General features: G+C 40.2%; 1 protein-coding gene and 1 long non-coding RNA gene across 29 annotated transcripts in view, besides 1 other annotated feature; one reads left to right on the top strand and one right to left on the bottom strand.

Annotated features, from left to right (window-relative positions):
• CFAP20DC (CFAP20 domain containing) overlaps nt 1-14,481 on the top strand; it is a 333,853-nt gene that overhangs the window by 39,716 nt on the left and 279,656 nt on the right. The gene's annotated exons all lie outside the window — the stretch shown is intronic.
• CFAP20DC-AS1 (CFAP20DC antisense RNA 1) overlaps nt 1-14,481 on the bottom strand; it is a 194,623-nt gene that overhangs the window by 8,784 nt on the left and 171,358 nt on the right. The gene's annotated exons all lie outside the window — the stretch shown is intronic.
• Nucleotides 11,133-12,332: an enhancer, noted in NCBI's record as "P300/CBP strongly-dependent group 1 enhancer chr3:58983704-58984903 (GRCh37/hg19 assembly coordinates)". NCBI's record gives its function as "activates an origin of replication core promoter dependent on BRD2, BRD4, P300/CBP, MED14 and CDK7 cofactors, with strong dependence on P300/CBP, by STARR-seq in HCT116 cells {active_cell/tissue: HCT116}" and the evidence as "EXISTENCE:reporter gene assay evidence [ECO:0000049][PMID:35650434]".

The raw sequence follows: 14,481 nt of genomic DNA, 5'->3' as shown, positions 1-14,481 counted from the left end.
CTTGAAGACAGCAGATACTTGGTTGGTGGATTTGTATTCATTCTGCCATTCTGCATCTTTTAAGTGGAGCATTTAGGCAAGTTACATTCAATGTTAGTATTCAGATGTGAGGTACTATTCTATTTGTCATGTTAGCTGTTGCCTAAAGACCTTGTTTTTTTTCATTGTTACTGTTTTCTAGGCCCTGTGAGATTTATGCTTTAAGGAGGTTCTATTTTGGTGTATTTCAGGGTTTTGTTTCAAGATTTAGAACTCCTTTCAGCATTTCTTGTAGTACTGGGTTGGTAGTGGTGAATTCTCTCAGCATTTGTTTGTCTGAAAAAGATTTATTCTCCCCTTCATTTATGAAGCTTAGTTTCACCAGATACAAAATTCTTGGCTATTATTTTGTTTAAGGAGTCTACAGATAAGACGCCAATCCCTTCTGGCTTGTAAAGTTTCTGCTAGAAACTTTATAGGTTTTCCTTTATAGATTACCTGATGCTTTTGTTTCACAGCTCTTAAGATTCTTTCCTTTGTCTTGACTTTAGATGTCCTGATGACTGTGTGCCTAGGTGATGATCTTTGTGCTATGAATTTCCCCAGAGTTCTTTGAGCTTCTTGTATTTGGTAGTCTAGGTCTCTGACAAGGCCAGGGAAGCCCTCCTCAATTATTCCCTCAAATAAGTTCTCCAAATGTGTATATTTCTCTTCTTCCTCGGGAACACCAATTGTTCTTCTGTTTGGCTGTTTAACATAATCCCAAATTTCTTCTACTTGTTCTAGTATATTGTTGAGACTTCACTGCATTTTGTATTTCCCTAAATGTGTCTTTCATTCCAGAAGTTGTGATTGTTTTTTCTTTATATTTATTCCTCTGGAAAGTTTTTCATTCATATCCTGTATGTTTTTTTAATTTAAGTTGGTTTTTACCTTTCTTTGGTATCTCCTTGAGTAGCTTAATAATCAACCTTCTGAATTTTTTATCTGGCAATTCAGAGATTTCTACTTCAATCCATTGCTGGGGAGCTAGTGTGATCTTTTTGGGGTATTGTAGGACCCTGTTTTGTCATATTACCAGAATTATTTTTCTGGTTCCCTCTCATTTGGCTAGACTATTTCTTAAAATTGTTCTTGAATTTATTTTTGGTTGGACTGTGGTTTTTTAAATTTAAATTTCTTTTTTCCTCTCCTAAGGACCAGACTTTGATGTTTATTTTAGCCTAATTTGATTCTTGGTGCTTGTAGGAGTGAAGACTTTGTATGAGATCCTTAGTTATAGAAAGTCTTTGTGTACTGGCTTTCCCCAATGCTGGTGAGTGGTAGTAGTTATATTCTTGGTGTGTGGGTGGGTTCACTGTCTCCTGTGGAGTTATAATGGCAGGGATCTCTTGAAGCTTATCTTGTTCTCTCATGGTGTACACTTTATTTGTTTACTGTTTTCTCACTTTTTTTTTAAATTTTATTATTATTATACTTTAAGTTTTAGGGTACATGTGCACAATGTGCAGGTTTGTTACATATGTATACATGTGCCATGTTGGTGTGCTGCACCCATTAACTCGTCATTTAGCATTAGGTATATCTCCTAATGCTATCCCTCCCCCCTCCTCCCACCCCACAACAGTCCCCGAAGTGTGATGTTCCCCTTCCTGTGTCCATGTGTTCTCATTGTTCAATTCCCACCTATGAGTGAGAACATGCTGTGTTTGGTTTTTTGTCCTTGTGATAGTTTTGCTGAGAATGATGGTTTCCAGTTTCATACATGTCCCTACAAAGGACATGAACTCTTCATTTTTTATGGCTGCATAGTATTCCATGGTGTGTATGTGCCACATTTTCTTAATCCAGTCTATCGTTCAGGCTTCAAGTCAATAGCGAAGGTATTCCTGGGTAGGCACCAGTTGTGGTGAAGGCAGGTGGGTAGATGTAATACTCAGTGGTGGGCTGAGGTCCCAGCCTTGATGAGTGTGGCTGGGGAAGCTCTTAATTAGGTTTTATCAGGGTTAAGAGTAGGAACTACCAGAGCTCCCATGCCAGGTCACCAGGAAAGCTGTTCACCTCACAGCCTCGCTCCTGTCCTTGTGTTTTAGCTATTCACATCAGACAGGCATCTCTTTTCATCTGTAGGAATGTTGATGTTCCAAGTAGGGAGGAATTGTGACTCTTCCTCTGTCGGCCTGAATCTGGGGTGTGCTTCTTCTGTGGGGCTGCACTCACCCTGGATTTTTCCAGAAAGGCTGTCTATAAGTGCATCCAGTGTTTCTGTTGGGGAAGCCCCAGCTGTGTCTGCAATGGAGTGCTGGGGGGAACAAGGACCCTTTCTCTAATGCCTTTCATGATCACAGAGGCTGCCTGTCTGTTGGGATATAGGTGCAGATTTTCCCTATTGCTCCCCACATTGCAATTGTTTCTCTGCTATGAGAAACTACCTACCAGTGGAAAGATCTGAAACCCAAGTCCTGCTGTTCAGAGTTTTTTGTCCCACAGGGTTTTTCCTTGATAGGGTGCTCTCCCACTTCCCCTAGGGATGAGGCTTCCTGAGAGCTGTACTTCAGTGATTGTTACTGCCCTTCTGGGTCTAGCCACCCAGCAGGGCTACCAGGCTCCAGACTGCTGCTGGGGAATGTCTGCAAAGAGTCCTGTGATGTGATCTGTCGTCAGGTCTCCCAGCCATGATACCAGCACCTGCTCTGGTGGAGGTAGCACGGCAGTGATGTAGGCTCTGTGAGAGTCCTTAGTTGTAGACATGTTTAGTTTTCTGGCTTTCTCAAATGCTGGTTATGCTAGCAGTGAAGTTGTCGCATGGACAGACTCAGGCCCTCTTGTTAGCCATAGCTGTTGTTTTCTCCTTGCTGGGAGCCAGATTATTCTGTCATGAGTTGCTGTAATGGCTTGAGTTGGTTGGCCTCCAGCCAGGAGGTGGTGCTTTCCAGAGAGCGCCAGCTGCAGTAGTAGAAGGGAGATCTAAGCTTACTCTTAAGTTGGCCAGGGGAAGTATTCTGGTTTCTTAGGTGATGGGCAGAGCCACAAAGCTCCCAAGAGTTTATGTCTTTTGTGTTCAGCTACCAGGGCGGGTAGAGGAGTACCTTCAGATGGGGGCAGGATTAGGTGAGTATGAGCTCAGACTCTCCTGGGGCGGGGCTTGCCACAGCCACTGTTGGGGAGTTGGGGGTGGTTCTCAGGCCAATGGGGTTTTGTTCCAGAGGGAAGTATGGCTACCTCTGCTGTGCAGTATAGTTTGCCAGGGAAGTGGGTGACATCCAGTAGCAAAAGGCCTCACCCAGCTCCACACAGTTGGCAAGGCCAGTCTCGCTCTCGCAGTGCCCCACTAACAGCACTGAGTTTAGCTCCAGTTAGCCTGCTCACAAAACTCAGACCTGCCCCAGGCCATAAGCTTCCACGCTGAGAAAGCAAGCAAGGCTTTCAGGCCTTGCCTCCCAGTCTGCCTACAATGTCAGCAGCTCCTGTGTTTGCATCTGTAACAGTTCCCATTTGCTCCCCACCCAGATTCTGATCAAGAAAGCTTGTGTCCAGTTGAAACTATTACAAAATTTAGTTGGAAGCTTCATTCATCTTGTGACCCCTCCCTAATTCTGCTGGCTGTCTTCCCCTAGGGCCTCTATGAGATATTGTCAGGGTTGGCTTCCCTGGGCTCAAGCTGGAGAATGGGACTGCCTACGAGGCTCTTCCTGCCACTGCTTCTACTTTTATATTTCATTCAGCTCCCCAAATCTGTTTTAGCTGTAGGTAAGGTTAAGTCCTTCTCCCGTGATCTGGATTTTCAGATTCCCCAGTGGGGATGTGTGTTCAGAGGCAGGATTCCCCACCTCACACTTTGGGAACTCACAGTTTTTTGCCTGTCTCGCAGAATTTGCAGCAGCATGCTGCTTCTTTCAAAGGATCTGTGAATTCTTCCAGTTTTCCTGGTAGATTCCTGCAGTGGTACTTGGAAAGAAAGTTCATGGTGTGAGTCTCCACACATTATTCAGTCTCTCCAAGTGAGAGGTGCACATTAGCCCTGCCTCCTGGGCACCATCTTCCTCCCATCTCCTTCTGATGGCTTTTTAACGTCATGATTTTATAGTTTTCTTGGCTTATTCTGGTTGCTGGGATGACAGTAGCAGCCTTTTGCCACTGTCTACATTCTAACCTATTCGCCCCTCCTCCCCGTCCATCCATCCATCCATCCATCCATCCTTCCATGTATAGATGTGTGTATATATACATATACACAGTATATTACATATTTATAAAAACACATATAAATGTAGGGATATTTAAAAGTACTTTTCATTGAGGAGTAATTCCATCTTGTGAATTATTTCCCTTCCTCTATATGCCCAAATTACTATAAGGTGTTAGTTTTAGCTTTCCTAAATAAATGAGAGATTTGAGTCACTGAAAACCACATTTGTTTTCATCTAATTCTATGTATCTAGGATATTTTGTAAATGAGGATTTACTACTTCATATCTTTTCAGCCTCATCAAATCTAGAAATGAAAGTAATCAATACTTAAATTTGATTAGTTCGCAAATAATGTAGTCTCTATCGACCACCAAAGAAGACTAAGAAACAGATGATGAAGACATTTAATTACATTAATATATTGAAATTTTTATGACAATAAGAGCTAATGATAGTTATGTAACAGTTATTGTCTGTCTAGAAATATAGTGGTGGGATATTAAGCAAGATGTTATCAGTATTCACATCATTTTAGTTTATCTAAAGTGATATAAAATGAATATAAGCGGAAAGCTTAATTCATATAAAAATTATATGACAGAAAAATTTACACATGGTACACTTTAAGTATATTATAGTCTCTCAGAGTAGTTTTTACCACAGAACATAGTGTTATGTAAGGTGACTTTGTCTGAAACTTGTCTGTATCAGCTAGCTTCTTCTGCATAACAAACTACTCCAAGAGTCAGTAGCTTAAAAGTATTATGTATTGTTTCTCATTTATCTGTGGGCAGGTTGGAGTTACTAGGCCTGGCTAGGCAAATAGGCTTGAACTGTGCATGTGGCTGGACTTGCTTCCTCAATGAGGTTTGGAGTAAGGTCTGCTCCACATGTTTTCATTCTAGAGCTGAGGCCAAGGAAAACAGAAGCCACCAAGGCCCCTCCCATGGCATTGGTAGAGACACAACTGAATGAACAAAAACACACAAGGTCTCTTGAGATCTAGGCTCAGAATTAGCATACCATCCCTTCTGCCTCATTTTGTTGGTCAAAGCAAGTTCATGGCCATACCCCAAGTTAAAAAATAGCAAATAATACCGTGCCCAAGGAGAAGGCATTACAAAATTACAGGACAAAAGGTATGGATAGAGTAAGGGGTAAAAAATCAGGGCTATCCTACCATTGTAGCCAAAGGGGATTGGTTACATAGGTAGTTAGGAATCTCATTGTTATAAGGTACTTTCTCTGGCCTAGAACTAGATGTTGGAGACAGAGTTCTGTGGTTGGTATCCACTAATGTGGGGATGCTCAAATCACAAGTTTACACAGGACTAGCCAGATATTGGAAATGAACAAAACAGAGCTGTGGGGATTATGCAGTGGAAAATTTGTACCCCAGTTAAAGAGGTGGGGGCCTCTATGCAGCCACAGCTGACTGTTACCAAGTAGAAAAGCAGATCATGTTTACCAAATCTTCAGATTTCTCAAGAGAATCAAGAAATTAACAATTTTTAATGACGACTTCTAATTTTTAGAGGTTGGTAACTAATTTTTTTAAAAGATAATAACTTGTTGACCAAATCCAAGAGTCAGATTTGGAACGTGGGCCTCTAGTTGGTAATCTGTGCAAAGCCAGAGGTTGCTTGGAGACTCTGGAACATTTTCCATTATAGTGGCCTTATCTGTAAATGCTAGAGGGCATTACAAATCTTACCATAATAATTAATGTTAATAATAGTAACTCCTTAAATTAGTATGTCACTTTATATTTTATAAAACACTTCCATGCTCTCATTTGTTTATGGTTGAAAAATATGTCTCTTGCTTCCTCCAAGAAGCAGGAAGAGCCTTCTTCCTGTGCCTCAGATGCATGTTGGGTGCTACAGACTTTTGCTTGTTTACCAGATACTTATTGAACACCTGCTATACATCAGGAATTGATCCAGGTTATTAACATACATCAGTGAACAAAACAGATGAAAATTCCTGTCCTCATGGAGTTTATGTTCTTTCTCTTTCTAGCTTGACCCCCTTGTCCTAAAACTGGATCAGCACCTCATTCATAGGTTTGCCCTATTTGAAAGTATTTACAGTAAAAGCCCTGTCCTGTAACTATATCAAGACATTTATGAGGTGAGAATAGCCAAGGGCACCAAAAGTAGGTATGTTTCACAAAGAGAAGAGTGTCCATTAATCCAATGGGTCTGTTAGGAGAGCTCCTTCTGCACTTAGTTTAAACAAAAGCAAGTCTGAAAAGAGCCCTTAGTAATTGGTGGAAATTAAAGTGAAATTAGAAAACCTTCATCCTATTGTATGTACTATGTGTTGTTTTCATTATAGGTTCCTCTACTTTCTTCCCGCAAGTTAGTTTCAAACTTTTCCTGGAATGCTATAATGTGGCAAAGTCAGGATTGACCAACTTTTACCATTATCAGGCATAGTCTGTCACTTAGGCAATTACATCAGTTGTTCCATTTTCATATCATGTCTGGAAAACAGATAACAGATGTCTTTAGACTTTTGTCCTAGTAAGTTGAGATTTCGTCTGTTTGTATATAGGCTTATAACCACACTGTATCTCTGATATTCTTAACTTGGATCTTTTATGGGGATACCTATGGATTGTTTTGGCATACATCTGACTTTGGGTTTAGAAAGGTAATGAATAGTACTATAAATATAATCCAACTATAAAAGCAGTCTTTAGCTTGCTATTCTAAAGCACATCTAAAAGCAGCCTATAACTTGCTATTCTGAAGCACATCTGACTTGCCAGATATTAAGTCTGTGTCTGAATCTCTTAAATAGATTAGGCTGCATAACACCTACAACCACCAATAAGTTGTTTCTGTTTAATAGATGTGCAGCAAAAGTTCATTCCCTCCATCCACCCATTCTATCTGTTGTCTTATAAAAAAAATAGAGAGAAATAAGCAACTAGGTTGTTACAATGTATAAAACAAATATCTACCTTCAGATGACTGAGAGTGGTATCTACACTATTTCATAATTTTTAAAGCCTTTCATTTTTTTCATCCCTTCTGTGCTGCATTTTTAGTGTGATTAATCAGTATATTTCTCCCCCTCTGGTATCTCTTGAAACGCTTATAAAATAAGTCTTTTAGATTCATCATATAACTGTAGGGAAGAACATTGGATATTCAGTCAGAAATCTTGGATGCATTATAGCTCTGTCAGTAACCAAGACCTTGGGCAAGTGACTTCATTTTCTGGGAGCCTCAGTTTCTTTAGATGTAAAAGGAGAAAATGAAAATGCCTCCTTAATGTGAGGATAAGTTTGATGATAAGAAGTGCTTTTCAAACTAGGCAAATACTAGTTCTTGTTAAAAGAAGGTCACAAATGCTCTCTTTTTTATATTTACTTAAAATAACATCTCTTTGAGTGAGGAAGAAAGTTGAAGAAAAATAGAACCAATCCTCATTGATAAGTCTGAGAACATTGATTTGGCATCTTTTGCTGCACTTGGAGATAACACCAGACATATCAGATCAGATTTGTGGTTGAGAGAAAGAATAATGGAACATAAAATTTAGTACTTTCTGTGATGTTAATTTGTGAGTAACTTTTATTTTCTTTTTGTTATGATGACCAGGGTGTACATGGATATTTTTAAAAATCAAAATGGTAGTATCATCAGTGATAGTTCTTAGTATGTAAGTTACTGAATAGATGTTTTGTAGATGTTTTCACATTTAGAAATACTTCTACTTGCTTTGCTTGCATAAAGTCATTTTGGTTATGCCATTTAGAAGCATTAATTTTTCCAAATGATTTTTGTTTAGAAATTGGAGATATGTCCCTTAAGGTGGGATCATGTATCCCTTAGGAGGGAAGCTAATTATTCAGCATGTGTGTGTGCCACACACTCATCTTATCATATCCTCAACTACTGGGAGTAAGAGGTATTTATTCCCCTTTGTTCCATTTTGTAGATGAGGAAACAGAGGCTCTGCGAGTAACTTTGTGAAGGCTTGTCAGTGGGATAACAGAGCTGGGATCCCCAACTCAGTTCTTTCAGGCTCTGACAATCCATGGACTTTTAACTTCATGATATTGCCTCCTAGGTAAACGATTAAGATGGTGGCCAACCACACGGCATTTTAGTATATACCCGGTATTAAAAAATGCCAAAAGTTACTTACATTTTTGTTTAATAGTTCACTTTTTCAATTTAGAATGTCTCTGTTTTGGAATCTCTTCTTTACCACATGTCACGTTTTTGTCCTTCCGCTCAAGCCACACTAATTGGCAGAGAGCCCAGGAAGCCCACTGATTACTATAGTAACATCAGGTACTTCCCTTTCTTCCCTGAGGCCACCCCTAATCAGACTACTGCCTGGCTAATTCCCTGCTTTTGCGAGATTAGAAAAAGGTTGTCTGTGCCGGGCACAGTGGCTCACACCTGTAATCCCGGCACAGTGGCTCACACCTGTAACCCCAGCACTTTGGGAGGCCAAGGCAGGTGGATCACCTGAGGTCGGGAGTTCGAGACCAACCTGACCAACATGGAGAAACCCCATCTCTACTAAAAATACAAAATTAGCTGGGCGTGGTGGCGCATGCCTATAATCCCAGCTATTCGGGAGGCTGAGGCAGGAGAATCACTTGAACCTGGGAGGCGGAGGTTGGGGTGAGATCGAGGCTGAGATTGAGCCATTGCACTCCAGCCTGGACAATAAGTGTGAAACTTAAGAGAGGAGAGAGAGAAGGAGAGAGGGAGAGAGGGAGAGAGGGAGAGACTGTTTCAAAGGCCAAACTCCTAAGCATAAGATTACCACCCCCTTTCCTCTAGTGGTATGCCTTCTTGGTGATCTATACAGTCCTATAGAGGCAGTCTATCAGGCCTTGTATTTTTATAGTAGTATCAAAGAATCTTCAAGGATAAAGTATAGAAATTAAGTACATAAATTATAATTTACAATGTGTGTTATTTTACCATTGATTTAAATCTCTTAGGTCTCTTTCCTTTCTTTCTCTTTCCCTTTGGCAGGCTTCAGCTCTTTGAATTTGCTCTCTTTACTAACTCTTACTGCTGTAATTCCAATATGCACCCTATTTTAGTAACATTTAATTTTTTTTAAGCTTCTTGGAATTAATAAGTTAATTCTTATTTTTCATCATTTAATTTAAATCCATTTTCCTTTTTCCCCCTATCAAGTTTTCTTTTATACTTTCTCACTGGGTGATGTCTTTTTATGATTGAATTTCCAGTCAGTGACCTTAATTTGAGTTCCAAACTGTGATATTTTTCATATATTATTCACCTAAATATCAACTCAGTTGGTATCTCTTGAGGTTTCTGTTCCAGAAACTCTCCAAATGGGCCTTCCTGTTTGTGGAGGGGAACACACTCTACTCTCATCCCTGGAACAAAACCTTCTGTGTTGTTCTTCACATCCTGTATGCCCTCCAATTGCCACCCACTCTCTGCCTCCATTTCTGTTCATCTGAATTTTCAACCTCTCAAATCTTCCCGATTCTCCTTGAGTGCCCACTGTCTCATGACTTGACAGGCCCTGAAATATTTCCAGTTTCCCCTGACTTCAAGTTGGAGGGCCTCCATCAGCATTTCCAAATCTCTTCATAGTCCCCTGTCTACCTTGGTAAAGATTTTATTTCCAGATCTTACTATCAGGTTATTGTTTCCTTTATTTAAAAAATTAACACAAGCATTACTGTCTTTACCATGATCATGCTCAGATTCCCTGACTCCAGCTAGATTCGACTGCTAAAGATTTTGACTGGAATTTGAAGCTGAAACATCTCTTCTTCACCACCACACCTCTGCCTTAAGCTTTATCCATACCCACTCCTGGCCATCTCAGTAATCTCATGCAGATGGAGGGTATTGTAGTATCAACCTAAATAACAGAGAGAGCCTCGCTAAAAGAAAAGATGTTTATTTGGGAATGAAGCATTGCAATGAGAATATACATATGCCATGGTAAAGTATGTGTGTTTTCAGAGAGATAAAGGAAGACAAAAGTTTTTAAAGGAAGAAATGAAGGAGATTACATAATTGTTTTGAAATAATTATCTCTGGCTGCAAGATCAAGGGTGACACCAGTTCAAGGTTGGACAGGCAGTTTCTGGGCAGATGTTCTTGCAGAGTTTTTTTATTCCATATGGTTGTGATGGCCTTCATGCAAGGTTGTGGTTTCTGTAGAGCCTGTTTAATTATGAGGCATACAAGCATAAGCAAGCATAAGAACCCTCTCTCTTTGTGGCCTTCCCGTGCTCTGTCAGGTTCTTTTTTTTTTTTTTTTTTTTTTTTACATTAGTGACTCCCTTTTGGCTCTGACAGTTTTCATGGCAACAGTAAATAGAATACACTGCAAAAGAGCAAAGGAAGAAAATTCAGATGTAGTATTTCTATACTAAATTTTCAGAGTTGAAACTGTATTTTCTAGTGTGTCAATTGCCAACTACCACCAGGTACAATCCCTGAAGTCCTGTTAAGATCTATTAAGACCCTTTTTGAGTCAGCTCTAGTGATTCACTGTAACAGTCCAAGGAGAGGGCCAAGAGTCCATTTAATTGTGCAAGATCTATAACTCCAGGCCTGGATACCATCATTATGGTATTAGTTGTCCCAGGCTTGAGTCTTTAGGCCCCTTTGTCTATCCCTCACTCCTTTCGTTTAACAAGCATGGCTGGATATGTGACTCTTGTTACATTCAGATAGTCAGTGAAGGTCTCCTGTTACTCAGTGGGCCTCTGTTGACACTGCCACTGTCCCCACCCTATCTTAGCTCCTTGTCTGAAGCCTGGAGCAGCCTCCTTGCTGCTATCTCTAGTCGGCATTTTTCAAGGCCATTTGGCTGCCTGTTTGTCTTATGGCTTCTTGCCTGGCCTCCCAGACATCACTGGCTTCTAATTTTCCACCACATAAAGCATATGTTCCACTGACCTTGTTCAAGTCTCCCATAATCTGTGTGTTCACAATAACATCCACTCTTACCATACTTACAGATCTGCAGCTCTATCACATTTAAATACCAGGACTGCTGATCTGCTTTCTTCTCTTCCTCTAGCATCACTGGATCTCCCTCTCATGTCTGTCTGCTAATAAACTTTCCCTAGGTGTCTCAGTCCTCATCAGTGAAGATGATGGTAACAGAGGTTAATGTGCAGGAGTTTGGAGTTTAACTGTCCACCAGCTGTGTGAGTTTGGACAAAGGACTTAACCTCTGTGTGCCTTAATTTCTTCCACAGAAAATGAAGTTAGTAATAATACCAAATAATCCACAAGTCTCCATAATTTTTAATGGCTAGCATTTATTTCTTGCTCATGACATGTGGGCAATAGGTAGACTGCATCTTTGTTCTTTTTCATTCTACGGTGCAGAGTGAAGAGTAGCTCCTGTTTCTGGGACACGTCATCATCAGGGCCAGTATCGTGATGAGAGTTTCTGTTGAGTCATGTCTGCTCAGTTCCACTGACTAATGTCTATCACATGGCTTACCCTAGAGTCACAGGGTGGGGCTATATCCTCCTCCACAAAGATAGGAGCAGGGGCTGTTTGTGATTAATAATGTAGTCAACCATGCTGCCTCATAGGATTATTGTGAAGTATAAATTAGTTAATAGGCATGAGAGCTTAAAAGGGTTCCTGGCACATGGTAAGGACGCAGTAAAGCATCAGTTGTTTTGTTAAGTCTGTGGCATGTTCTATGCTAAGTACTGTATGGGTGGGTGTCATATAGTTTAATCCCATGAGTTTGATATTGTTATCACCCATTTACAAACGAGTAAACTTAGGCTTACAGAGGATAGCTAAATTCTCCACAGTCATATACAGTTTGCAAGGAACAAAATGGGCATTTAAAACAGACCTATGAGACTTCAGAATCTTTGCTCCTAATCTTTTACTACTTCAGAAGACATGTATTGAGAGGGTCCCTCCTAAACTTAATGAGCTTATTTCACTGCTGCTACTGCAGTCTGTACCACTTCTGCAGAATCTGCCATGACCTTGAAGGACTTGCCCGTAGACAGCTGTCTACCCCACAGCTACCAAAGTCCAAAGACTTTGGTTACAGTAACCTTCAAGCTTGGGCTAGTGCTTTTGATCACTTTATTCAAATCACAGAGGCCAACTCTGTGGAAGACTGACTGTGGACTCTGAAGCTCTCAATCCCACTTTTGGAGAGTAGGATAAATTTACGTACTGTCTTGACCTTGCCTTCTATGGGATCTTATTTGTCTAATTCTTTGCTGGACCCCCCTATACCCACTCCCCAAGGCAGAAGACAGACCCTACAGTCTGTACATTGCTATCGAGAGTTACTTATTTGTCCCTCTTCCTGTATCTCATTAGTGTACAAATGGTAGAATAAGACATGTGGGCATTTACAGTCTTACAAGACTAGACCTGTTTACTTTCAAGGCTTAGAGGTCCTTAAAATAATTTTTTGATCCTCACATTCATTCTTCCAAGCCCAGGGCAGAGCAGCCCTTCCACTTTGTACTTGGTAGTATCTCTTCCATGAGGTTGTGAGCTTCATGAGAGTAGAAGGCCATGTTTCATGACACTTCTGCATTTCTCTACAATGCCTATGAGCTTGAGGCCATCATTAGAGGCTTCTAGAGAGAATATGCAGAATCAATTAGTACAGCCTTTGTCTTTGGGAAGCTAACAATCTAGGAGTGCTGTCTCTCAACTCTTAAATGGCGACATTGTTTTCCTCACTGAATTGTCATGAGGATTCAGATTTCAAAGGAGGCAGTATAGTGAAGTGGTAAGAGCATGTTCTAGAGCCAGATCCCAGCTCATTACTTACTATGTTTAACATTTGTGCTTCCATTTTTCTCATCTATAGGGTAGAGATAATAATATTAATAGTACTTATTTCACAAGTTTTTTAATGAGGATTAAATGAGTTAGTACAAGTATTGGGCACATAGAATTAAATAAATGTTAGCCATTGTAAATAACAAAATAATACATCTGAAAGTGTTGCAGGACTTTTCCTTAGTTCAGCTAAAGACAGCGTCCTTGTCTGTCCCAGGGACATGAAAATTTAGGCTCACAGAAAGTTTGAAGGGTGAGTAAAGCAGGAGTTTTTTGGGTGAAAAGGGGAAACAGTAATCCTCCACAAGGCCAGAGTCCCTCCTGGAGTGCTTCCCACCACAGCTTGAATCCCAGATTCCACACAGGAAGAGGAGGGGCCAGGCTCCTCCCGGCTGCAAAAGGTGCGAACCTCTGTGGCTCCACCCCGGTGTGCGCTCTTCCCAGTGGGCATGCCTGTTGGAGAACCCCTCCCACCTGGCTGTCTCAAAAGCATCTAGAATTACCTAGAACAATGCTACTCAAAGTTGCCATTACAGTGAGATAAGGAACTTGGGCCACAATATAAATCAGCACTCTCCTTCCTTCTTTGGAAAATTCTTGCTAGGAAAAAAATGTTTGCTTATTGATAAATTTAATTTACGTTCCAGCTCTAGCTTCTTTTTTTCTCTGTAGATCAGCAATAAACAGTTCACATAGCACACTTTTTGTTTTCCTGGCCCAGGATATAGTAGGCAGTCAGTACATTTGTTTATATACTCTGACCTGAAAAGGCTGTCTATGTAAAGGAACTTATTAAGAGGAAGCAAATAACGAAGTTTGTGGATTTCAAGTTGTGTGTATGTCATACATTATACATCTATTTGTAATCTATCTGTATCTTAAAAATTACAAACAAGATAAATCACAGCTGTTTTTTTGGTAAAGGTTTTAAATATTTTTCTGGTAGGAAGAGTAGATAAAGGCAGCCATGTGGGTTGTTACGTGAAGCCTAGAATGGGCTTTCCCAGATATCAGGAAGACACAGAGGTGATATCCTCATTCTCTTTTGCTACCATATTAGCATCTATTTATAGTCAAATATATAAAAATAAGCACAGTTATTACAGGTGAGATTTATTTGTATAAATAAGTTTGGAAACTATGCCTGTTGTTTACTGGAAAACCCAATTATGGTGTTGTTACCTAGAAGGGAATATTGTAAGTAAACACTTTTTTTTTTCTGCTTCATTTATACCAAAGCAATTTAACATGAAATTAGTAATTATATTAATCTGGGCTCTCCAGAGCAACAGAAACAATAGATAGATAGATAGATAGATAGATAGATAGATAGATAGATAGATAGATTTATTATACAGAATTGGCTCATGTGGTCATGGAGGCTGAGAAGTCCCATGACCTACAGTCTGGCAAGCTGAAAAGTCAGAAGAACCAATAGATAGTTCCAGGTTGAGTCTGAAGGCCTGACAACTGGAAGAGCCAATGGTATAAGCT

The sequence above is a fragment of the Homo sapiens genome, chromosome 3 (genome assembly GCF_000001405.40).
Source record: "Homo sapiens chromosome 3, GRCh38.p14 Primary Assembly".
Lineage (NCBI taxonomy): Eukaryota > Metazoa > Chordata > Mammalia > Primates > Hominidae > Homo > Homo sapiens.
This window is presented reverse-complemented; position numbering and strand designations above follow the sequence as displayed.